This window comes from Homo sapiens, chromosome 15, assembly GCF_000001405.40.
Source record: "Homo sapiens chromosome 15, GRCh38.p14 Primary Assembly".
In the NCBI taxonomy this organism is placed as follows: Eukaryota; Metazoa; Chordata; class Mammalia; order Primates; family Hominidae; genus Homo; species Homo sapiens.
Window position 1 is genome coordinate 72,172,400 of NC_000015.10, and position 26,464 is coordinate 72,198,863.

General features: G+C 48.5%; 1 protein-coding gene across 1 annotated transcript in view, besides 3 other annotated features; it reads right to left on the reverse strand.

The window, feature by feature from the left end:
* The window catches only part of GRAMD2A (GRAM domain containing 2A), a 37,982-nt gene extending 12,594 nt beyond the window's left edge, over positions 1-25,388 (reverse strand). The window contains exon 1 of the mRNA NM_001012642.3: positions 25,332-25,388. Coding sequence (NP_001012660.1) covers positions 25,332-25,372 — 41 coding nt within the window. The 5' untranslated portion in view covers positions 25,373-25,388. The remainder of the gene's footprint in view (positions 1-25,331) is intronic.
* Positions 21,223-21,846: an enhancer, noted in NCBI's record as "NANOG-H3K4me1 hESC enhancer chr15:72485963-72486586 (GRCh37/hg19 assembly coordinates)". NCBI's record gives its function as "activates a minimal SCP1, AML or CMV promoter by ChIP-STARR-seq in primed H9 embryonic stem cells {active_cell/tissue: H9 hESC(primed)}" and the evidence as "EXISTENCE:reporter gene assay evidence [ECO:0000049][PMID:30033119]".
* Positions 24,826-25,005: an enhancer, noted in NCBI's record as "active region_9714". NCBI's record gives its function as "activates an Ori minimal core promoter by ATAC-STARR-seq in GM12878 lymphoblastoid cells {active_cell/tissue: GM12878}" and the evidence as "EXISTENCE:reporter gene assay evidence [ECO:0000049][PMID:35858748]".
* Positions 25,116-25,535: a silencer, noted in NCBI's record as "silent region_6617". NCBI's record gives its function as "represses an Ori minimal core promoter by ATAC-STARR-seq in GM12878 lymphoblastoid cells {active_cell/tissue: GM12878}" and the evidence as "EXISTENCE:reporter gene assay evidence [ECO:0000049][PMID:35858748]".

Below are 26,464 nucleotides of genomic sequence, written 5' to 3' on the forward strand. Positions count from 1 at the left end.
TGAGCCACCATGCCTAGCCTTTTTTTTTTTTTTTGGAGACAGAGTCTTGCTCTGTCACCCAAGCTGGAGTGCAGTGGTGTGATCTCAGCTCACTGCAACCTCCGCCTCCCAGGTTCAAGTGATTCTCATGCCTCAGCCTCCCGAGTAGCTGGGATTACAGGTACCTGCCATCACATCTGGCTAATTTATTTATATATATATAAATTTTTTAGCAGAGATGGGGTTTCATCATGTTGACCAGTCTGGTCTTGAACTCCTGATCTCAGGTGATTCACCTGCCTTGGCCTCTCCAAAGTGCTGGGATTACAGGTGTGAGCCACCATACCTGGCCTGTAAATTCTTTATTGAGAACGTTAATCCTTAGTTTATCATTTTTGTGATGTTTTCCCCAGTTTGTCGTTTCTCTTTTGTCTGTGGTATTTCTGCTGTGCCTGTGTGTAATTACTGCATGGGAGATTCCATCTATTTCTTCCATGTATGTTTCTCGCTTGGTCTCAGTCCTCTCACAGGACAGGCCTGGGGGGAGTAGATATGCAAGTCAGACCACTGAGCCATTACAGCGTGGGCCTGGCAGTGAATCCATGGGGCCGCCAGGGAAAAATTCTGTGGGCTCAGCTCTGAAGAACCTGCATCCCAGACTGAAGGATGGATGAGGGATAGAACGGGATGACAATGGGAAGGAGCTTGGACAGTGCTTTCAGAGGCAGGGAGCCTGTTGCTTGAGAATGTGAGTCAAATTCTCAGGACTGCAGGAGCTCAGAGGATGCACAGATCCCTGGGAACTGAAATACAGTGGGGTTCCTAGAGAAAAGGAAGCTGAGCCTTAGAAACTGGGTATAATTATAATCTTGCATGGATTATCTAATCTTGCATAGATAACCATGTCTTTGCATGGATTCTAAACCAAACACATCCTTAGGTTCAAATGTGACTGTCTCAGGGAGAGAAGCCTTCCCTCAGCCCTCCCCCAGCCTAGGTGAGTAGTCCCTGCTTCAGATACTCACTCACAGCACCCTGATCGGAAGTCTCTGCTCAGCATCTGTCACACTGTGTCTGTGTGCCATGACTGTGCATCTCCAGGGGCTCACAGACTCTGCCTGGTCCTTCATTGAATCCCCTGAGTCCAGTGCTGAGCATGCAGCAGGCGCTCACGACAACTCCAGGGAGGAGCTTTCCTGCCTTCAGACCAGGCTCAGCCACCAAACCCGGCCAACTTTCAAGTCTCTTTAAATTAAAAGCCAACTCCTGGCCAGGTGTAGTGGCTTATGCCTGTAAGCCCAGCACTTTGGGAGGCTGAGGCAGGTGGATCACCTGAGGTCAGGAGTTCAAGACCAGCCTGGCCAACATGGTGAAACCCGATCTCTACTAAAAATATATAAATTAGCTGGGCATGGTGGCGGGCATCTGTAATCCCAGCTACTCAAGGGGCTGAGGCAGCAAAGTCGCTTGAACCCGGGAGGTGGAGGTTTCAGTGAGCCGAGATCACACCATTGCACTCCAGTCCAGCCTGGGCGACGAGAGTGAAATTCTGTCTAAAAAAAAAAAAAAAAAAAAAAAAGCCAACTCCTTTACACATGATCAAGAGGATGGTTGCAAGCCATTCCTTTCTGTTTGCCCACTGAAGCCAGTTCCTCCTGTCTCTCTGCTGATAATGCTCTTGGCTCAGAGACCCTGCCTATGGCCAAAATGAGTAAACCTGCCGCGCTCTCAAAACGATCTTCAGTTCACTTTCCACTCAATAGTGGTGTCTTCTCCCCTGTAGTGTTTATTTTGACGAATGAAAATAAAGAAATGGGAGTAGTGCCACCTGAAGAAGTACAGGGCAGACTGGTCACTGAGCACTCACCAGCAGAACCACTCAGGCAGGGGACACCCAGTGACCAGCTGGGCCCTGACCCAGAGGGCCAAGAAGGAGGCTTCAAGAGCACAGGGCTCAGCCTGGTCCCCCACCCTGCAGGCAGCCGCTGTAGACTCTACTCACAGACTTTTTGTCGCGCTAGGTGTTCATGCCCTGTGGGTTGTGAACCACATCTCCTCCCGCTCTGTCCCATCCAGTCCCGTCCCATCCCCATGCCCCAGCTGTGGAATTCATGTCAGGAGTCCTGGAAGCCATAAAAAACTACCTAATTTCTGTCAGGAGAGGTATGGAGCAGGGGAGTGGCAGTGTTTTGACATTAAAGGAGGTACAAAAGATTGGAAATCCTCCGATGAGGCCCTTCCCCTGGCTGAGCATGGTCTGAAGGCAGGAAGGCCCCTCCCTAGAGGGCACAGGAGGTGTCTGCCTGCTCTCCAGCCCCATGCAGCAAAAAATACTCCCTGAGCTTTTCACATCATGAGGCAGGTAGGGAGCTCCCCAGCCTGAGAAGCTGCCAGAGGGCAGGGATGGCACCAGCACAGGGAGATGTCAAGAATGGGGAGACAGGGCAGGAGAGGAGGGGGCAATGAGTGGGAGCCCAGATACACAGGAGTCTAGGGGCCTCGTGGTGCACCTGACACAGGCATTCTGCTCTGCACACCTCCCCCAGGCTCCAAATACCCACACCAGGCAGTCACTCCCAAGTCTACCTCTGTAACCTTGACACCCACACCCTCCCGAGCTTCACCCCCTGCCATCTAGACGTGTCCATGCATGTAATCTCAGTAGCGGCCCCCCAAACCCACTTCCTCCTTGGCATCCAATGTCTGTGAAAGGCTCTGTCTCCCCACAGTTACCCAGGCCAGAATACTCCACTCATTCTTCTCCTCACCTCCACAGCCAATCAAGCCCTCAGGTCCCCCCCAAGATAACCCATAAAACCATCTCTTTTCTCATTCCCACTACACCACGCAAGCCCAGGCCACAATCCTTTTCCCAGATGCTGGCAACAGCTCCCTGACCAAAACTGCCTCCGGCTGTGCGGGTACACACTGCCTCTCTCCCACATGCACACTGCCCAGAGGGCCAGCTGGGGCCCGGGTCTGATCCTGCCACTCTCCTGCTGATGCTCCTTCTTCACTTCCCGTCACTTCTTCAGCTGGCCTCCCAGACCTTCCTGCTTTCCAGCCTCATCGCCCGTCATTCCCTCCCCTGCAGTACAGCCCAGCACCTTCACTTCTATGCCACAGCAGCCCTTCACACCTGCGTGCTTTGCCTGCATACCTGCTTACCCTTCTCATGCTTATCTACCTGGGGAGTTCCGGTCATCTTTCAAGCCCCAGGTGAAACGTCACCACCTCTGTGAAGCCTTCCTCAGTTTCCCCCAGCAGAGGGGCTCATCCCTCTTCTGTGGTCCACTGTCGCTTCTTGCAGGCTGCTGCCCCAGCACTTACCACACCAGAGTGTGCTTGTCTGTTTACACATCTGTGTCCCCCAGTTGACTCTGAGCTCCAGCAAGGGCGTGTCCCGTACATCTCTGTATCCCCAGCATACAGCCAGCACCCAGTGTTTGCTGAATGAATGAAGGAGAGACAGGGAAAAAGAGATAACACCCCAAAAGGGAGAAGCAGAGGAAAAAGCAAGGCAGTAAGAGTGAGGGGGCGCAGAGAATGACACACCCAGCAGGAAAGGAGGGGACAGGCTGGACAGGAGCTGATGGGGTCCCCCACAGCAGGGCCCTTTCCTCCAGGAGCTCTGGTTCGGTACCTCAAGGCACTCAGCCCAGGGTGGCTGACTGATCAAAGAGGAACTCAGGTGGGAGGTAGGAGGCCCAAGCAAAGAATAAAGGGTCTGGGCAGGATGGGGTATTTGGGTGAAAGCACAGGCTGGGCCCCTCCTGTCTCCAGTGGGCTGCACACACCTGGGCGGGCCATGCCCTGGCAACACTCCCCCAGCCTTCCCAGCCCTTCCTAACCACAGGGCAAACCTCCCTCCAGTACTCATCCAAGCCTCTGGCAGTGGCCAAGCCTGTGGCTGATGCTGAAGCACAAATCTCAGCCGGGCCTGCGTGGTCACAGGCAGGGCCTTCCCCACAGCTGGGGTGGGGTGGTCCCCTTGGGCATCTCCTCCTCCAAGGAGGTGACCGCACTCTCCCAAGCTGACTTCTTGTGGACCCTGTGGGTCCTGCCAACTCTTCTCAAGGCCAGGCCAAAGACAGCTCCACCCTTTTGTGCAGCCAGCCAGGACGCTCAGCCCCAGCGAGCTCCAAGCAGAGACCTGAAAACACCACTGTTCTCTTCCAAACAAAAACACATCATGGCAACAGGCCCCGACAGTACAAACCCAGAAACCAGGGAAATAGCCATCCAAGGACAGGAAGCTTCGTGGACATCTGTCCTGGATAAAACTTCGCAAACTGGGGCTCAATAGGCTGGACCTGGGACTCTTCCCCCCAGTGGCTGCTCCAGATCCCCCGACAAGGTCTCTTCACTCCACCTGCACTTCTCACTCAGCTCACCTCCTACTTCAGGGGGAAAGGACACTCTCCTTTTAACTCTAAAGTGTAGCCGCTGGGTGCACATTAGAATCACCTGCAGTGCTTTTTTTTTTTTTTTTTTTTTTTTTAAGAGATGGAGTCTTGCTCTGTTGCCCAGGCTGGAACACAGTGGTGCAATCATAGCTCACCACAGCCTCAACTTCCTGGGGCTCAAGTGATCCTCCTGCCTAAGCCTCCCAAAGTAGGTGAAACTACAGGTGTATGCCACCATGCCCAGCTATTTTTTAAAAAATTTTTTTATAGAGATAAGGTCTTGCTCTGTTGCCCAGGCTGGTCCTGGCCTCAAGCAATTCTCCCACCTCGGCTTTCTAAAGTGCTCGGATTACAGGCATGAGCCACTGTGCTCAGCCTGCAGTCCTTTAAAAAAAAAAAAAAATGATGCCTGAGCTCTGTCTCAAACCAGTTAAATCAGAATATCTGGGAATAGCATTTAAATAACTATAGATTTCTTAAATTGTTGTTGAAGTATTATTTACATATAGAAAAGCACATGTTAAGTAAATGTACAATTCAATGCATTTCACAAACGAGTACACACCTGGGAACCAGGCCCCCAGAACTACCCGCTGCTTCCTCTGGTTTCACTGGCCACACCCTCCTGGCCATGGATAGCCATCATCCTGACTTCCAGCACCACAGAGTGCTTTTGCTGCTTTTGGGACTTTAAATGAACAGAATCATACCATACATACTCGTGTATGTGTCTGCTTTTACTCAGCAATGCATTTGAAATATGGATAGACCACAATTTATTTATTCGTTTTACTACTGATGGACATTTAGGCAGTTTCCAGTTTTTGCCTCTTATGAAAGTGCTATGAAAATTGTAGTACCAGTCTTGTGCATGCAAGTATTCACTTCCGTGGGTAAACACTTAGGATTAGAAGCTCTAGGTCATAAGGCAGGTGTATGTTCAGCTTCTTTTTTTCTTTTTGAGACAGAGTCTCACTCTTTCACCGAGGTTGGAGGGCAGTGGCATAATCTCAGCTCACTGCAGCCTCGACCTCCCAGGTTCAAGAGATTCTCATGTATCAGCCCCCTGAGTAGCTGGGATTACAGGCGTGTGCCAACACGCCCAGCTAATTGTTGTATTTTTAGCAGAGACGGGGTTTCACCATGTTGGCCAGGCTGGTCTTGAACCCCTCACTTCAAGTGATCCACCCGCCTCGGCCTCCCAAAGTGCTGGGATTATAGGCGTGAGCCACCGCACCTGGCCGGCTTTAGCTTTTAAAGGCTCCCAGGTGATTGTAAACCCCCAGCCAACTAAGAAACCATGGGAAGAATCCTGCCCCCACCCCTCCTTTCTTTGTGGCTTCTCTCCAAGGCCAATCCACCTGCCTGGGCTCTGAAACTGGGGTCCTGACCCTCCTGAGCCTTCTTCACCCTGGCCCTCTTGAGTTTCAGGAACTTCCTTGACAAGGCAGGGAACCCCACTGTCAATAAGCTTTCCTTCATCTGTTTAAGGCCTGGGGGCCCATTTCCTAGGTTGTACCACAGAAGTCACAAGACCAGCTTTTCCAGGTGGCAGAGGCCGGCTCTGAACCACACTGTGTCCTTCCCGAGAGACTCCCTATGTGCTCTCAGGGCCACAGTCCTCACACACAGTCAGAAACTGGGTGACAAGACCTTTCCTGATGGCAAACTAGGATTCTGTGGAGAGAGGCAGGCTTATTATCATCAATGTGCTGAAACTTGAAGATAAAAGGTAATTTCCTTCTTTTGCAAAAATAATGTCATTATTGCTGTCTTGCACTTTCTTTTTTTTTTTTTTTTTTTTTTTTTGAGATGGAGTCTTGCTCTATCGCCCAGGCTGGAGTGCAGTGGCGCAATCTCGGCTCACTGCCAGCTCTGCCTCTGGGTTCGTGCCGTTCTCCTGCCTCAGCCTCCGGAGTAGCTGGGACTACAGGCGCCCGCCACCACGCCCGGCTAATTTTTTGTATTTTTAGTAGAGAAGGGGTTTCACCGTGTTAGCCAGGATGGTCTTGATCTCCTGACCTTGTGATCCGCCCGCCTCGGCCTCCCAAAGTGCTGGGATTACAGTTGTGAGCCACCCGGCCCGGCTGTCTTGCACTTTCATAGAAGCTGTACCTCCCTTTTTATTTTCTCAGATGACATTCCATATCTAGGACAACTGCTTTGTCCTTTCCACTGACTGGAGGAGGGGAGAAAAATCCAATAATCGAGTCTCATACTGAGTGTAAGGGGGTGAGGCTTAGTGAGTTGGGGTCCCACTCAGCTCCCCTGGCAGCGGGCTCCAGAGGGGCGGGAACTCAACCTCATCACAATCCCTTCTTCCAGGAAGGGTTCTGAGAACACCCAGGCCGGGAACGGGCTTGCTCTCCCATCACTGCCTGTAGCAGCTTTGAGATGAAGGGGGGATGTGGAGGGCCAGAGGCCTATCTTCCCAAGACCTACCAAGTGACCCTGGCCACAGCCAGCGGAACCATGGTGTGCTCCAGGCCCAGGAAAAGCCATCACAAGCTGACCAGCAGCCTCTTTAGAGTGAAAAGATGAGCCGGCCTGTCAGATTCCCTTCCTAAGGAATCCTAACTGGGAAATCCGAGATGTGGAGGTATGCAGCCAGGAGGGAACAGGCGAGAGAGAGCCAGGTAGGTGCGAGCTGCAGCTACACTAGAGCTGAACCTCTGGGTGCCCCCGGAGACTGGCTCTAGAGCGAGGGAAGAGGGGGCAGGAGGCAGAGAGAAGCAGGGGGCCATGGGCCAGGCCTCCAGTCTAGGAGAGCACGAACTGGCTCCCCTAAGATGCCCATTAACTCCTGCATTTGTGTCTCCACAAAATGGCAAACAGAGAAAAAAATTATCCCCTCTGTGACCTGCAGATCGTCAGGGCTACTGTGAGGATCTGCAAGAGGTCTTGACTCAGTCTGGGGTGGGGCTGGGGACACCCATAACCCTGCCCATTGAGCAGGACGTCCCCGACTAGCACTGGTGAGCGCTGTGTTAGCCTCTGTCCCATCACATCCTTGAAGGATACCTAGAGGGGCATCTACCCACGGCAAGTGAAGACAGGGGTACCACTGGGCCTCAAAGGCACCCAGAAAGCTCCATACATGTCCTCCATGCCTGAATCTTTCCACTGGGACTACAGTCCAAGGAACCAGCCGCGGCAAGGCCCTCTCTACACCTGGGCCACACCCAGTGACTGCCTCCCACCACCATGGGCTCGGAGGCACGACCCAACTTCAGCTCAGGCCCAGCCTCCCTTTCTTCTCCTCCCTCCACCAGAGGTTAGAGGCCAGCAATTGCTGCCCCCTCCTGCCCAGAGCTCAAAGGCCTGTGCAGTGAGAACAGTCGCCACGGAGACAGACAGGGACAAACAGCTAAAACCGGGAAGCTTTCCTCCTGGGGATATCCAGGATTTCCTACAAAGCATAGGCCAAATCACAGAGCCGGCTCTGCAGAGAGTGCCCTGCCGGCTGCTGGCTTCGTCCCATCATGCCCGCTGCTGGAGCGGCATCTATTTGAGCTGGCACCCCCGGGTCTGCTCATAGACCACTTTTTCTTGGCAGGCCACTTGGGGCTTGGCCATTTCCAGACAAAAAGCTGGTCATTCAGGTCTAAAAACAGACTTGCATTCATTAAGGAACAGAGCGCCCCTGTGCTCTTGGGGGCCGCCCTCCGGCCAGGCCTGCTAAGTGAGGGGGCCTGCAGACAGGCTGAGCCGCTCAGACGCCCCCACTCAGGGCTGCCAGGGGCTGTGGCTACTCTGGAGACAAGTCAGTTCTGTCCATCCATGGATACTGTCCAGACAGCCCACCCCAACCACCCTGGGATACCCACCTCAGAATTACTCTGGCTTTGTGGATCCATCAGGCTCTTCTCAGGACCACAGGCAAGTGTGAAGGGTCTTGGGGTCCTGAAAGAGCCTGGAGTTGGGGACAGGAAGACAGGAATGCAGGCCTGGAACTGCTTCTCACTGCTGAGGGGCTTTGAGTAAGCCACTCTTCCTTTCTGGGCCTCAGTGACTCCTCTGCAAAGGGGCGAGAAAGTCACAGCCCAGGAGGGACAACAAATGTTGTCTGAGGGAAAAAAGCAGAGGCCACGAACTGTATAAACTGCAGATGGCCACTGGCCCTCTGAGGTCAGATGAACCCTCATCCCAGGAGGGACCTCTATTAGGGCATCCTGACTCAACCATGGAGGGCAAGGAAGACTTTTCTGAAGACGTACAACATTGGAGCTCATCTCCAAGGGATGCTAGCCAAATGGAGAAGGGGGATTCTGGGCGGACAGGGTCACTGTAGAGGGGTTGCCATATACAAAGGCCCCAAGGCCAGAAGTGTGCAGCATGTGTGAGAAAGCTAAATAGAGCCTTTGAGTCTGGAGGGCAGAGGTGAGCAGCGAAGTGGTAAACAACAAGGCTGGAGGGGTTGGCAGGGCCAGATCATGCAGGGCCCATGGGCCTCTATAATGGTTTTGGTCATTATCTTAAAAGCAATGGGGAACCAATGTAGAGATTTAAACAGGAAAGTATACTATCAACTTTGTGTGTTAATAATTTGTTTCCAAGTAATCCCATGGAAGTGGGGCAGGGGAGTGGAGGGTGAATATTGGTGAAACAGGAATGACTCGTGTTGTTGGTTATTGTAGCTGGGTGATACATACGTGGGGATCCACTGGACAACTCTCTCATCCTTTGTTATGTTCACAATTTTCCATGGAGAGAGATCAGGTGAAAGGCTGTAGCTCAGCAGAGAGATGATGTCTTGGACTGGGTGGCAGTGGTGATGGAGGGCCAGGGATGGATTTGGAATATGTATTTCCAAATATAATCAATCTGACATGGTGATGAATTGGATGAGAGGTAAAAACAAGAAGGTGTCAAGTATGACTCCAGATTTCTGGCTTAAGCGAGTAGGATAGTGGGCTCTTTTGCTGAGACTAAATGAGGTAAAAATGGACTAGAAGAAAAGCCTAGTTGGAAGCAACAGTCACGAGTTCAGCCTTGAACATGTGTGAGAGACATTTAAGTGGAGATGTCAAACTATATATGACTAAGAAGCTCAGAAGAAAGGTTTAGGCAGGAGGGATAAATTTCTGAGTTACTGGCCCATAAGTGAGAAGAGGAGCTAGTAAGACTGTGCCAGGGAAAGTGGGTACACAAGGAACAGAAGCTATCAACAAGAATGCCAAGACTTAGGGGGAAATAAAAGTCTTTTCAACAAATCATGCTGGGACAAACTGAATATCCACATGGAAAAGAATAACATGACCTTTAGCTCACACTGTATACAAAAATTAGCCAAAATTCGGCCAGGCGCAGTGGCTCATGCCTGTAATCCCAACACTTTGGGAGGCCGAGGAGGGTGGATCACTTGAGGTCAGGAGTTTGAGACTAGCCTGGCCAACATGGTGAAACCCTGTCTCTACTAAAAATACAAAAATCAGCTGGGCGTGGTGGCGCATGTCTATAATCCCAGCTACTCAGGAGGCTGAGGCAAGAGAATTGTTTGAGCCCGGGAGGTGGAGGTTGCAGTGAGCCAAGATCTTGCCACTGTACTCCAGCCTGGGCGACAGAGTGAGACTGTCTCAAAAAAAAAAAAAAAAAAAAAAACCCAAAATTTGCTAAAACTATGAAACTCTTAAAGAAAACATAAGTGTAAATCTTTATGACCTATCAGGCAATGATCTCTTAGATATGACACCGAAAGCATAAGAAACAGAAGAAAAAAACAGATAAATTGGATCTCATCAAAATTAGAAATGTTTATGCTGTTAATATCATCAAGAAAGTGAAAAGACAATCCACAGAATGGGAGAGAATATTTGCAAATCATCTGTCTGATAAGGATTTAGTATCCCAAATATATAGAGAACCCTTATAATCTTGAGGACATTATGTTAAGTGAAATAAGACAGTCACAAAAACACAAACACATATGAATCCACTTAAATTGGGTATCTAGAGTAGTTGAATTCATAGAAACAAAGTAGAATGGTGGTTGCCAGGGCCTGGGGGCAGAGGGGATAATGAGTTGTTGTTCTTTGGGTATAGAGTTTCAGTTTTGCAAGAAGAAAAGTTCTGAAGATTGCACAACAACGTGAATATACTTAACACTACTGAACTGTGCACTCTGTTGCCCAGGTTAGAGTACAGTGGCGCAATCATGGCTCGCTGCAGCCTCAACCTCCCTGGGCTTAGGTGATCCTCCCACCTCAGCCTCCTGAGTAGCTGGCACTACAAGCACATGCCACCATGCCCAGCTAATTTTGGTATTTTATGTAGAGACAGGGTCTCTCTATGTTATCCAGGCTGGTCTCAAACTTCTGGCCTCAAGGGATCCTTCTGCCTCAGCCTCCCAAAGTGTTGGGATTACAGGTGTGAGCCACTGTGCCCAGATGGTAGGGTTTTGTTGTTTTTTTTTTTCTTAACTACAATTTAAAACTGTTCTAAAAGAACTCTTGGCCGGGCGCGGTGGCTCACGCCTGTAATCCCAGCACTTTGGGAGCCGAGGTGGGCAGATCACATGGTCAGGAGATGGAGACCAGCCTGGCCAATAGGGTGAAATCCCATCTCTACTAAAAATACAAAAATTAGCCAGACATGGCGATATGTGCCTGTCGTCCCAGCTACTCAGGAAGCTGAGGCAGGAGAATGGCGTGAACACGGGAGGTGGAGCTTGCAGTGAGCTGAGATCGCGCCACTGCACTCCAGCCTGGGCGACAGAGCGAGACCATGTCTCCATTAAAAACAACAACAACAACAACAACAACAAACCCGGGCATGGTGGCTCACGCCTGTAATCCCAGCAGTTTGGGAGGCCGAGGCAGGTGAATCACCTGAGATCGGCAGTTTGAGACCAGCCTGGCCAACATGGTGAAATCCTGTCTCTACTAAAAAAAATAAATAAATACAAAACAACAAAAAGTAGAAAACCAGGTGTAAGGCTGTCATGGAAGCCAAAGGAGGGTTTCAAAAGATGGAGGAGAACGCAATGCTGAAGTCTGCTGAAAGGCCAAGTAAGAGCAGGACGCAAAGGCAGTCCCTGAATTTAACACTGCAGATGAGTTACTTTGGTCAGGACAACTTTGGTGCAGTAGTGGGGTCTGCTCCTCCTCCTTTTCTCCTGGGCCGGTGACTGCATCCCAGGGATGGATGGTGAGGACAGGTCTCTGTCCACCAGCAAGGATGCTGCTGAGCACAGCTGGAAACTCAGTCCCAGTCCAGCTCAGCGCCACATCCCCTCTGAACCTGCCCTCCGCCCTCCCTCGCGGGAAAAGACCACGGAGATACTGGGAACGGATAGATAGGATTGCATCTTTCTCTCCTGGTTCCCCGAGGGGGTTGTTTGCAGTCGGGGAGGGAGAGGGACTGCCCTCGCCCCACGGCCTCACTGCCCTGTTCCCCAGTTCCCCAAGCCACCTTCACCTGCAGCACCTCCACCCCTCGGCTAGCACAGGCAAGAGCCACAAGCCTATTTTCTGCGCCTGCCTTGGAAAGGGCTGGGAAGCTGGTGAGGCAGCCGCACCCAGCATTCCACAGCCACACTCAGTGGCTCCAAAGCGGCGCCCGCGGCGGCACTGATCCCGCCCGGCTGGCCCCAGCTGACCCTTTGCAGGAGGCTGGTGGTCACAGCCAGAGCTTGCGCAGGCCGGGGAGCTGCCAGGAGTGCCGCAGCCGTGCCCCCACCTGCTGGGCTCCCGGGAAAAGGAGCGCGCGCCCCTCTGAGCCCCTTCCTGGTGCAGTGCGTGTACCAAGCGTGGTAACTGGCCTGGCTGAGGACGCCCGCGTGGGGACGGGCTGCGCGCCCTGCCCAGGCTCCTGCCAACTCGGCTCCCCCAGGCTGGGCTCGGCCGAGGGCTCAGATTCCTGACCAATGACCTCGTCTTGAGGAGCTTGCTAGGTCCTGGGACCTCCTCCTCCAGGGAGAACCCCAGATTGTCTAACTGCGGGAACGCTCCTTAGGAATGCCTGCTCTCGCCACTGTTATTCAACCTTGTCCTGGAGGTTCCAGCCACCGCACACAGGAGAGAAAAACAAATAAAAGGTTCACTTACATGTTAAAGAGGGACAATTATTGTTTGAAGATGGTCAGATAAACTACCTAAACAACACATAATCAACCGACAAATCATAAAAACGTGGCGCAGATATTTTCATATTTGGGCACCAAAGTAGGCAGAACTGTGATGGGGTAGACACATAATTAACTCATGGAATTAATTACTACTTTAACGGTTACAAGATCAATAGATCTTGTCCAATAAATGGTATTGGGGCAATTGGCTACCTCCCAAACGACTGATTTTTTAACTTGTAAAAATCAATCGTTTTCCTGTAGACCTACAATACAGTTATAAAGTATATGTGGGAAAATACCTATATTCATATGACAACAAAAATATATTTTGTTCCAGTTTTTTTTTTTTTTTTTTTTTTGAGACGGAGTCTTGCTCTGTTGCCCAGGCTAGAGTGCAATGGCACCATCTCGGCTCACTGCAACCTCTACCTCCCAGGTTCAAGCAATTCTCCTGCCTCAGCCTCCTGAGTAGCTAGGACTACAGGCACGTGCCACCATACCTGGCTAATTTTTGTATTTTTAATAGAGACAGGATTTCACCATGTTGGCCAGGCAGGTCTTCAACTCCCAACCTCAGGTGATCCACCTGCCTCAGCCTCCCAAAGTGCTGGGATTACAGGCATAAGCCACCATTCCTGGCCTGAGTCAAAGTTTTAAAGGAGCAAATTTACCCCAAATTAATTTGTAAATGTTCCAACAGGGTGCACGTGCATGTGCACACATGTGAAAGAGAGCAAGAAAATTTTGAAAAAGAAAATGATGTAAAGGCTTTGCCTTACCAGATGTCAGAACAAATTACAAAGGTAGGATAATTAAGTAGCGAAGTATTAACTGGCCTAGGAAAGATTACTAGATCAATGGAGCATAAGACAGTCCAGAAAATGACCTATGAGTATATGAGAATTTAGTATAGCATGAAGAATGTGTTTCACACAAGTAAGGAAAGAATGAGTTGTCCAATAAATGATATTGGGGCAATTTGGCTACCTCCCACCATTCACAAAAAGATAACCCAGGGAGATAAAACACCTAAATATTTTCTAAATCTATAAATAGCTAGAATAAAAGAGAATATTTTTAAATATCAGGAAAAGTTTTTCTAAGCAAGATATAAAACCCAGAACACATAAAAGATTTAATTGCATAAAGATTTAAAACTTCTGTATATCAAAATTTAAGTGGACAAAGGATTGGTATTCTTCATATGTAGGGAGCTCATCCAAGTCAATAAAAATAGGTAAATAACCTAATAGAAAAGTGAGCAAAGAATATGAACAAGCAATTTAGAAAACAATCTATCTTACCTATTTTATCAGTAAACACTAAAATTATAGTGCTCAGTATTACCAAGGATGTGAAAAATAGTCATTCATTATTCCCCATTATAAGACTAAAGACTGAGTTAACCTTTCTAATATACATCAAATGCCTTAAGAAATACAAATTCTTTTCTTTTTCTTTTATTTATTTATTTAATTTTTTTTTTTTTTGAGACAGAGTCTCGCTCTATCACCCAGGCTGGAGTACAGTGGCGCCATCTCGGCTCACTGCAACCTCCACCTCCTGGGTTCAAGCGATTCTCCCGCCTCAGCCTCCCGAGTAGCTGGGACTACAGAAGCATGCCACCACGCCCGGATAATTTTTGTATTTTTAGTAGAGACAGGGTTTCACTGTGTTAGCCAGGTTGGTCTCAATCTCCTGACCTCGTGATCTGTCTGCCTTGGCCTCCCAAAGTGCTGGGATTACGGGCGTGAGCCACTGTGCCCAGCCAAGAAATACAAATTCTTTAACCCAACAATTCCCTTTAAGACACTTGATGTAAGGAAATAAATGGACAAAAATGTATATTCGTATGATTAACAATTATGGGGAAAAATGTAGAAATACCATAATGGTATTTTATCAGTATAATGGATTCCTATGCAATTGATAAAAAAGAGTAAGTTAGAGCTCCTATATGTGCTAATATGGAAAAAAAGTCCAACATGTATTGTAACTGATAAGTAGGTACAGACTGAATGCAGTGGCTCATGTCTGTAATACCAGCACTTTGAGAAGCCGAGACAGGTGGATCACCTGAGCTCAGGAGTTCGAGACCAGCCTGGCCAACATAGTGAAACCCCATCTCTACTAATAAAAATACAAAAAAAAAAAAAAAATTAGCTGGGTGTGGTGGTAGGCTCCTGTGATCCCAGCTACTTGGGAGACTGAGGCAGGAAAATCACTTGAACCCCAGAGGTAGAGGTAGAGTGAGCTGAGATAGCGCCACTGCATTCCAGCCTGGGCAACAAGAGCAAAACTCTGTCTCAAAAGAAAAAAAAAAGAAAAGAAAAGTAGATACAGATCAGTATGATATAATCTATAACATAAAAAAACTATACTTAAGGGTATATATCAATCATGACTACATCCAGGAGAATAAAGGGATGATGTTCACTCTTTATACACTGTTTTGTTTGAACTTATACTAACAGGTATAAGTTCCCATCTGCTACTTGGGAGGCTGAGGTGGGAGGATCACTTGAGCCTGGGATGTTGAGGCTGCAGTGAACTATGATCATGTCACTGCACTCCAGCCTGGGCAACAGAGCAAGACCCTGTCTCAAAAAAGAAAAAACAAAAAAGAAAACTAAAAAAAAAACAACAGTAAATTAAAGATATAAGTTATATATATATTTTGAGACAGGGTATCACTCTGTTACCCAGGCTGGAGTGCAGTGGTGTGATATAAACTCACTACAACCTCTGCCTGCTGGGCTCAAGCAATTCTCCCACTCAGCCTCCAAAGTAGCTGGGACTGCAGGCATGTGCCATCAAGCCTGGCTACTTTTTGCATTTTTTATAGAAACAGGGTTCTTGCCATGTTGGCCAGGCTAGTCTCAAATTCCTGGGCTCAAGTGATCTGCCAGCCTCAGCCAGCCTCTGAAAGTGCTGGGATTACAGGTGTGAGTGAGTCACTGTACCTGGCCATAATATCTTTTTTTCCTAACTTTTTAGATTTTAAAGGCTTAAAGTTAATACTATCTAATGTTGATCAACATATTGTGAATGAACAGTCTCACATACTTGTATGTTACGACAGTATGAAAAAGGTACATAAATTTTATGTGTAGACACCTGTCACACCTGTAAATTCCATTTCTAACAATTTATTGCTAGGAAATAATTGAGCACAAATTACAATGTATAATAAGAATGCTCACTGGCTGGGCGTGGTGGCTCATGGCTGTAATCCTAGCACTTTGGGAGGCCAAAGCAGGCAGATCACGAGGTTAGGAGTTCTAGACCAGCCTGACCAATGTGGTGAAACCCCATCTCTACTAAAAATACAAAAATTAGCTGGGTATGGTAGCATGCAGCTGTAATCCCAGCTACTCAGGAGGCTAAGGCAGGAGAATCACTTGAACCCAGGAGGCGGAAATTACAGTGAGCTGAGATCCTCCTACTGCACTCCAGCCTGGGCAACAGAGCTAGACTTCGTCTCAAAGAAAAAAAAAAAAAAAGAATGCTCATTAAAGTGTAGTTAGAGGAGAAAAAAAGGAAGTACTATAAATGTCCATCAATAAGGCACAAATTATGTTTTATTTGTAGACTGGAAGGCTATGTAACCATTAAAAATATTTATCAATATTTATTAAAACTTATTAAAAAGTCTATATTAACATGAAAGATAGCATTATATAACATTGGAAAAGCGTTCTGTAGAACAGTGTGCCTAATAATATATGTAGAAAGATGCTCACTAAAATTCTAACATTTTCCTCCACGAATTGGGATTTTTACATGTTTTTTTGTTTTCTTTATACTTTTCTGTATTTTTGGTATACTTTGCCTCAATTTTTTTTTTTGAGACAGAGTCTTGCTCTGTCGCCCAAGGTGGAGTGCAGTGGCATGATCTTGGCTCACTGCAACCTCCGACCCCCAGGTTCAAGTGATTCTCCTGCCTCAGCCTCCCAAGTAGCTGGGATTACAGGTGCCCGCCACCTCAGCCAGCTAAATTTTTGTATATTTAGTAGAGATGGAGTTTTGCCATGTTGGCCAGGCTGGTCTCGAACTGTTGACCTCAGGTGATCTGCCCACCTCAGCTCCTGAAGTGCTGGGATTACAGGTGTGGGCCACCATGCCCAGCCTTTAAGAGCTTTATTGGTTTTGATCTTAAAAGTATTATACACCTGTTAGAATAAGTTCAAACAAAACAAAGTATTCAGGCCACTTTGCCTGAATTTTATAATTAGAATAAACATACTATTTTCATTTAGTAAAAGAATTTTTAAAAAGGAGGAGAAGGAGAAGGCAGGAAAAAGAATTGTTCCAAAGGCACTGCGATATTATTAATGAATAGACACCTCTGAAATTCAAAATTCCTAAAATCTCATTCTTCACTACATGGAAACTTTCAGAACCAACAGAAAAATAAAGCTTTGTTTTAAAAATGAACTTTGCCAAATCTACATGTGATAAAAATCACACAAGACTAAATATAGGTCCACACACATGCAGAGACACAAATGAGTGCATGTAAAACTAGTGAAATCTGACTAAGGTAGATGGATTATATCAATGTCAATTTTCTGGTTGTGATACTGTTCTATTGCTATTCAGGATGTTACCATTGGGGGAAACTGGGTGAAGAATACATGAGATCTCTCTGTGGTATTTTATAAAATTGAATGTGAATTTACAATTCTCTCAAAACAAAAAGTGTATTTTAAAAAGTGAACTTTGTGCCTGGAAAAGTAAAACAGAGGTAGCTTTTCTTAGAGCTGTAGCTGAATTATCACTAAGAAGTCCCATTTTAGGTTCTCAAAGTTAGAGGCACTGAAAGGAAAGTACGTTTTAGTGAGCACCTACTGTGTACTAGGCCATTACACAGCCAGAGTACCTATGAAGCAGGTTAGATGTGAGTCTGTTTTATAGAATGATAACGGGAGGCTCAGAGCCAGTAGAAACTCAGCAGTAACTTGTGGAGCAAGAATTTGAACCCAGGTCTGTCTGAAAGCTTAGGCTGTCCTATTGACTACATGGCTGGAATGGCTTAAAAGACAAAACCAAACCAAACCCTTACTCAGTGTTATCCATATCAAGAAACTCCATATAAAGAAATAAATATTCGAGTGGGTGGGGAAAAAAAGGTGCATTGTAACTAGGCAACAGGAATTTCAAAATGTATGCCTATACATGAATATCATCTATTAGATCTGTCACTGCAGTCCTGACTATTAGAAAGTTCTAATAGTCAATTAGCTGGGCGTGGTGGCTCACGCCTGTAATCCCAGCACTTTGGGAGGCCAAGGCGGGAGGATCACAAGGTCAGGAGATCGAGACCATCCTGGCTAACATGGTGAAACCCCGTGTCTACTAAAAAAAATACAAAAAAATAGCCGGGCGTGGTGGCAGGCGCCTGTAGTCGCAGCTACTCAGGAGGCTGAGGCAGGAGAATGGTGTGAACCTGGGAGGCGGAGCTTGCAGTGAGCCGAGATTGCACCACTGCACTCCAGCCTGGGCGACAGAGTGAGATTCTGTCTAAAAAAAAAAAGGTTCTTCCCAATACCTAAATGGACCACCTTCTAGCTAATAATCCTTCACCAAGGAACAAACCTTTGTCCTCATGTTCCTTCCTTAATAAAACTGGATCTCCACTGCTGGTGTGACCAGGGCAAAGTCTGCTCCACAACTCTCTGTTCTCTTGTGTCTTCTTATATTGCAAGATTCATTAACTTTTCCAGTTTCTGTTTTCACATGGGGACACTTGGTTATTTCCCATTCTCCCAAGTCTTCCATCATTATGGACGCAGATTGACAATCTAATGTAAATTACATGCCTCTGAGGTCCAGGCAAGAGTTGGAGGGTGGATCTGTGAACTCCTGGAACTTTGGGCAAAATTGTTGGGTCTGAACAAAGGAGTATGTTTCTGGGAAGAGAGCATTTCACTTTTATTAGACTCTCAACGTAGCCTATGACCCCCAAATGATAGAAAATACTCCTCTAATTAAGCAGCTCCTTGGGGAAATGGCTGATTCCGGATCTGAGGAAATGCAAAAAGGAGCCTAAAACATCTAATCATACCAGAAACTAAAGAAGTCATTGAAGCCTGGAGTCATGGCTCAAGAACTCAGGAACCAACTTAAAGATGGGACCATTTGAGCATCAATAAGAATGGATTAAAACACATCAAATATGTTTAAATCCATGAGATTATAATACACCGAAATGACTCATTGGCCACCTTTGGTGGCTACTAGAGCCCATACCACGATTTTGAAAACTAAGAAATAAGAGTCAAGTATTTATTCTGCCTTTCTAGTACTGGCTACACCTCAGGATAAGCAAATGGTTGAAGAGGGAACACATCTTTTTTTTTTTTAAATGGAGTTTCACTCTTGTTGCCCAGGCTGGAGTGCAATGGTGTGATCTCAGCTCAATGCAACCTCCGCCTCCCGAGTTCAAGCGATTCTCCTGCCTCAACCTCCTGAGTAGCTGGGATTACAGGTGCCCGCCACCATGCCCAGCTAATTTTTGTATTTTTTTTAGTAGAGACAGGGTTTCACCATGTTGGCCAGGCTGGTCTCAAACTCCTGACCTCAGGTGATCCGCCTGCCTTGGCCTCCCAAAGTGCTGGGATTACAGGCAGGACCCACCGTGCCCAGCTGGGAACACATCTTTTTATAGAAAGAGTCTCCTAATAAATGATGAAAAACTGGTAGGATTAGACTAATACCATATTTCAGTCCCTAATTAAATAATGGGTCTGCATGAAATAATCATCAATGGCTGCTAACATTCTTCAAAGAGAAATAACTGATATTATATACTTCTTGAAGCACACAATACCATCAGAATCTGACCGAGACTGTAGGTCCAACTCCCAATGTATAGGAAATACATAAATCAAAGGAATGGTTTAAACAACATCAACACATCAGAAAAAGTTATAGAAAACATAGCCTGTTTTTTTCAACAAATAATTTGCAAGGAAAAAAGAAAAGGAAGAAAAGAGGAAACCATAGACTAAAGAGATAAAGATATAGAGATTCAAAATGGCAACTCTTTGACTTTAGTCAAAGTATAAACTTCATTTGAATCCTTATTAAATGGTACAAAGACATTTATGAGACAATGGAGGGAATGTAAATGCTGACTAGCTATCTGATTAAGAAGTTACTGCCATTTTTTAGATGTAATAATGATATTGTAGAAATATTTTTTAAAGGCTCTTTTATAGATATACATTGAAATATTTTTGGATAAAATAATATAATAGCTACAATTTGCTTCAGAATAATCCAGGAGACAGGGAGAAGGGAGGTATATATGAAACAAACTTTACCCATGACTTGATTATTGCTAAAACCAGGAGATGGGTACATGCCACTTATTATACTATTCTCTCTCCTTTTGTATATGTTTGAAATTTTCCACAATAAAAAGTTAGCAATTCAGAATATAAACATGTTTCAACTTGTCTGGTAATGAAGGAAGCCCAATAGGAATACCAATTCTGAAGTACTGTCACTGGGTTATTTTAAAATAAAATTTCTAAGTAATCCTTCAAAAATTCAAAATGTATTTTAAAATAGCATTTTGTGTGGCCTGAGTGATTACTGGCAGGTTTTGAGTAATCTGATTAATTCTAACACATATTAGAAATATCTAAACTTTTTTCCTACAGAAGAGAGAAAAAAAATCCTAATAATCAGTCACAGTTGTTTGGTCAGGCATACTGCCCACGCTGCTGTGCGGTGGGTAAGGCAATGAAATGAAATACCAGCAGGATCTCGACAATTAACTACTATACCATTGATGTGCCATGTACAGATGTTAGGAGGAAAAGCAATTCATGTTTGATTTAAACTAATTCTTCAAGTGATCTTTACTTTAGGTTAAAAAGAAATAGAGCCAGCCAAAAACTGCTTAAAAATTAACAATGTAATTACAAACATCACTGAGGAAACACTAATTTATGACAAGGCTTTAAAGATTGGTTCAGTCGGCCAGGTGCAGTGGCTAATGCCTGTAATCCCAGCACTTTGGGAGGCCAAGGTGGGCGGATCACCTGAGGTCAGGAGTTCAAGACCAGTCTGACCAACATGCAGAAACCCCATCTCTACTAAAAATACAAAAAATTAGTCGGGCGTGGTGGCACATGACTGTAATCCCAGCTACTCGGAAGGCTGAGGCAGGAGAATCGCTTGAACCTGGGAGGCGGAGTTTGCAGTGAGCTGATATCGTGCCATTGCACTCTAGCCTGGGCAACAAGAGTGACAGTTCGTCTCAAAAATAAATAAATAAATAGATAAATAAATAAATAAATAAAGATTGGTTCAGTCGCCACAGGTTATTAAAACACGCCTCCAGTCCTAAATGATGACCAATCATTTCTTTTTTTTTTTTCATTCTTGTTGCCCAGGCTGGAGTGCAAATGGTGTGATCTTGGCTCACTGCAACCTCTGCCTCCCGGGTTCAAGCGATTTTCCTGCCTCAGCCTCCCTAGTAGCTGAAATTACAGGTGCCCGCCACCACGCCCAGCAAATTTTTTGTATTTTTAGTAGAGACAGGGTTTCACTATGTTGGCCAGGCTGGCCTCAAACTCCTGACCTCAGGCGATCCACCCGCCTCAGCCCCCCAAAGTGCTGGGATTACAGGCGTGAGCCACCACACCCGGCTTGTGCATTTCTTTTTTTTTTTTCGAGACGCAGTCTTGCTCTGTCGCCCAGGCTGGAGTACAGTGGCGTGATCTCTGCTCACTGCAAGCTCCGCCTCCCAGGTTCACGCCAGTCTCCTGCCACAGCCTCCCGAGTAGCTGGGACTACAGGCGCCCACCACCATGCCTGGCTAATTTTTTTTCTGTATTTTTAGTAGAGATGGGGTTTCGCCCTGTTAGCCAGGATGGTCTCGATCTCCTGACCTCGTGATCCGCCCGCCTCAGCCTCCCAAAGTGCTGGGATTACAGGTGTGAGCCAACGCGCCAGGCCGTGCATTTCTAAACTAATAAAAATGTATAGTAGTGGGAAGGAGGGGCGAGGAATCACTTTCTCCTACAGTGGCTTATATCCCTGAGAACAATGCCTGTCTTTTGGAATCTGTGCCGGAGCACGCAGGTGCACCTCAGGGAGGCTGTTACTTCTTAATTACACAGGAAGCTCCATTCCCAGGGGCTTCTGCCCTCCCCCTCCTCCTTCCTTTCCCACATTAGCAAATAACTGGGGAATTAAAGCTTCAAAGGTTGGTGATGACAGGTGGTGACAGACTGATGCCCTGAAGTCCAGGTGAATAGCGCACAGTGGCCAAGGCCGACCTCAAGTGAAACTCACACTTGCATCAGAGATGGCTGCAGAATTGAGGGAAATCATTTTCACTTTCCTGGAAGGGAGAAAAATTATTTTCTGGTGTTCAGGCTCACACCAGATGTCAGAGTGGAATGCTACACCGTTCTTGACTTCAAGGGCTTTCCATGGGTAGCCACAGCAAAGGAGAAATTCTGAAAATAAATGAAACATCTTCCGAAACTGGGAAGGAAATTGGAGGGATTTTGGGGGGACGGGGAATAAGTTTTATTTTATTCTTTCTCCTAAGCTTATGATTTTAGTATTCCAAGACCTTATGCTTGAATTACTTAGCAAGAGGGCATGCTTATGCAGAAGACAGGGAAATGAAGAGAAAACAGCAGGCATATACAAAAGTGAAGGTTCCTTAACAGAGTTCATGGTGGAGATAGTAGGCACCAGTGGAGTTTTTATCCAGAACTTAAAACTTAGGAAATACCTATGATGACGCTTTAGCTGGAAGTAATGGAGATATCTGATTCCAAACTCATATTTTTTCTTTATTATTTATTATTATTATTATTATTTTGAGACAGAGTCTCACTCTGTCGCCCGGGCTGGAATGCAGTTGCGTGATCTCAGCTCACTACAGCCTCTGCCTCCCAGGTTCCAGAGATTCTCCAGCCTCAACCTCCCAGGTAGCTGGGATTACAGGCACACACCACCACACCTAACTCATTTTTGTATTTTTAGTAGAGATGGGGTTTTACCATGTTGGCCAGGCTGGTCTTGAACTCCTGACCTCAGGGGATCCACCTGTCTCAGCCTCCCAAAGTGCTGGGATTAGAGGTGTGAGCCGCCGCGCCCGGCTCAAATTCATACTTTAAATGCCTATTTGCAATCAGCAAAGAGCCAGGTATGCTGCATGCTGCTTGCTGTAAGGATTTGGCTTCACTGGCCCAAATTTTTTCACTCCACCAAAAGATAAGGCACAGGCCCACTTGTCCAATCACATTTGCTGAAAATACTGTAGCATGAGTGTAGACAAACTTCCCCTGAAGCTGCTAGAAGTGTCTAGTTAGGAGAATCACTGGATGACTGCATGCAGAAGGCCTTTAGGGAACCTACAGTCCAATCTCCTTACCTTATGGTGTAAAGCAGGCCCAGAAAGCGGAAGTGACTTGTCCCAAGTCGCAGCAAAACAGGAACAGCCTGAGGCTTAGAACTCACTTCTGATTCCAGAGTGAGGCTCTTCCCTCCAGCTGATAAACATGGTCCGTGGCAGGCAAGGACCAGAGCGAACCTAAGCAGGTTAGGGGCGGGGTGGAGCCACCCAGGAGGCACTAACAGCGCAGCAGCTCATGGGAGAGCTTCCAAGAGGCCAGCTGGCAGCAACCCACCTTGGGTACTGCCGACCTCAACCTCAGGGGGTCACGGGAGCACCCTAGGTGGATGAATTAGCATACAAGTCTCTCTGGTCTGTGCCAAAGCTTTGGGGCCTTGCTAAATTTAGAAATTTGAGGCCAGGTGCAGTGGCTCACACCTGTAATCCCAGCACTTTGAGAGGCTGAGGTGAGCAGCTCACCTGAGGTCGAGAGTTGGAGACCAGCCTGACCAACATGGAGAAACCCCGTCTCTACTAAAAAATACAAAATTAGCCGGGTGTGGTGGCGCATGCCTGTAATCCCACCTACTCGGGAGGCTGAGGCAGGAGAATCACTTGAACCCAGGAGGCGGAGACTGCAGTGAGCCGAGATCACGCCATTGCACTCCAGCCTGGGTAACAAGAGCAAAACTCCGTCTCAAAAAAAAAGAAAGAAATTTGAAAGCAGCCAGCAACATCAAGGCACAGATGGAGCTTGAGCTACCCTCTTCAGGCTATTCAGAAAATTCTCCCAAGGGGAAGTTGGGAAGGAGAACTTCTATTTGGCCCCAGCCTAAACTCTCCTGGAAGCTCGATGGGGCCTCTGTCAGCTTTCCCCTCTGGACCTGCCCATTTGTCCCAGAGGTGCCCACTGAGGCTACCTCAATGCCTGTCAAACTAAAACTTAAACCTAAGAGTGTCTGCAGCATGGTCTCCAGCCAGCCTGATCAGAAGACTATGGAGGGGGCCAGGCACGTGGCTCACACCTGTAGTCCCTGTAATGCTAGCACTTTGGGAGGCTGAGGTGGGTGGATCACCTGAGGTCAGGAGTTCAAGACCAGCCTGGCCAACATGGTGAAACCCCATCTCTACTAAAAATACAAAAATTAGCTGGGCGTGGTGGTGGGCACCTGTAATCCCAGCTACTCGGGAGGCTGAGGCAGGAGGATCACTTGAACCTGGGAGGCAGAGGTTGCAGTGAGCCAAGATCCCACCACGGCACTCCAGCCTGGGTGACAGAGTGAAACTGTCTCAGAAAAAAAAAAAAGAAAAAAGAAGGAGGGGCATACTGACTCCTCACTGAAGAATGGGATAGACACCCTCTATTCTACCTCTCCCAGCAAGGCCATAAGTCTTTGCTCTGAAAGGAGCCAGACTTTAGAGCCGGCTACAGGTGGACATGGGGTGAAGACATCAGGTTGCGAGGGTACCCTCTCTCGTTCCCTAGGAGCCTGGCCCCTGCAAGGAGGGGCACCTTTAAACAATCAAGCATAGTGAGTGGGGCGGCAAGCAGAGCAGAGACACAGACGACAGCGGGGTGGAGCCCCACCAGTCCCTCTGAGTATAAGGCAGAGGGAGTCCCGCTGGGGTCCACATCCCTGTGTGTCTCGGGCTGATTTGGACACAAGGCTCACACATTCATCCTACCTGCCCCAGTGCTAGCTGGCCGAGGATGCCAGGCTGTACCCGACCTTAGGCTGTGCGGCTTGGAACCTGGACCGGGGCAGGAATTGACAGGTTCCCCCAAACAATGTCACTCCCAGGACCCTAAGACCTCAAGCAGCAGAAACCACAATTCTGGATGTTACGTGCAGCGCCAGCTCCTGTCTGCCCTGCCTCCTTATCCCTTTCTCCCAGGGCGACTTTGGACCAGGTCTCGAGGCCGGGAGACCGGCCCCAGCCCGCCCGACCGGGATGGGCCTGGCGCCCGGGGGAGGCCGCGTCGTGCTGAGACAGCTCCGAGCTGCCTCCCCGCAGCCGCGGGCCGCTACAATACGGATTCGGCGGCGAGAGGAAACAGTCTGGCCCTCCAGGGGACGCAGGGAAATCCAACCTTTGGGTCGGGGGCAATTAGGACTGGGAGTCGATACCGCGGGCAACGAATGATGAATGAATAAATGAAAGGATGAACAGAGTGGCGAGGCGGAGATGGGCCATGCGGGGCGTCCCGAGGAGGGTGCCCTTCCTTGCCCCGATGCTGCCGGGACCGTCCCTCATCCCCCAGGTCGCAGCAGACTCAGCCAAGACACCCGGTCCTAGTGCGAACACCTCGCGGGCCCCGGGAGACGCCTGGGCGCGCGGTGCAGCTCTGGCCCGGAGCCCGCATTCCGGCGGCCGGGAAGTGCCTGCCCCGTGGGCAGAACGCGCCGAGTTGCCGCGGCCCCAGGAGCCGTCCTGCCCCGCGCGGCAGCAGCCCCTCGCGGCGGCCTCCGGAACCCCCGAGACCGGCCCCCGGGCCGCAACCCCTTACCCGCCCTCCTCGGTGGCCTCGCTCCGGCTTAAAGCGGTCATCCCGGCGCCTGCACCCAGCGCCCCGACCGCGCGCCGGGACCCAGCGCCCGCCGGACCCCGCCCGCCCCGTCGAGAGCCCGCCCCGCCCGCCCGCCCATTGGCGGGTCGCGCGGGCCGGGCACAGCCCATTGGCCGTTCCTCCCCCTCATTCCCCAGCTTCCCCAGCTTCTCTCCTTCCCCACCTTCCCCAGGTGGGGCTCCAAGCTCTGAGCAGATCCTAGCGCTCGGTTCCCCGGACTGGGAGGTCCCGGAGGCCAGGGCCTGGCGCGGCACCTCCTGTCCCTCACGTCGAGGGTATTGTGTCCCCTCTGGACGCTTCTGTCGTCCTAGTCTTGCGGCTTGGGTCCCTCTGCAGGAACCAATTCCGGCCCCTCTCCAACCTAACCCTTCCCAACATAGAGCTCCGGATAAGTTTCAATTTTACCGTCAGTGGGGAACACCAAAGGGGATATTGAACACCATGGTCTGACAGCCAAGTCACCACCACGAACCCGGGAGCCAGGATGCTCCCACGCACTTTTGCCGGAGTTAACATTGCAGTTTCTCCAAGGAAATACACTTTTGGAGGAGTCTGCAAAGGGGCTGAAGGTGGACACAAATCAAAGGCAGGGAAGCAGAGGCACGTGCGCTCAGTGTGACAATGAGCTTTTGCCTGGCCTGCAGGCCCTTTCCTCTTCCATCCCCACCAGGACACTTGGTCCTTGGGAGTGTGGTCAGGGGAGAGGAAAAGCGCAGGCCAGATTTGGTCCCATTCCCAACTCTCTCCCCCAGCCCTTTGGCACTACAGCATCATGGTGGGAGGGCACCAGCAAACAGGAGGGGTCCCAAGGGGAGCCTAGGTCCACAACTGAGGACCTGGGAGCCAAACCCAGTCTCAGGCGCCCAGAGCTGACTCCTCCTACAGCCCCCATAAGGGATACGCTAATGCAGGAAGACCAAAGTGGAAGAACCATGGCCAAGGCCACTTTGCAATTTGGGTTTATCTACCAGAGTGGGAGGGAGGCCTTGTCCCTGCTCTTTCCCATCTTCGGTTCACGTAAGCCATTAAAGTCTCCCCGCAGCACTGAAGGGGGCAACCTGTAACCCTAAGAT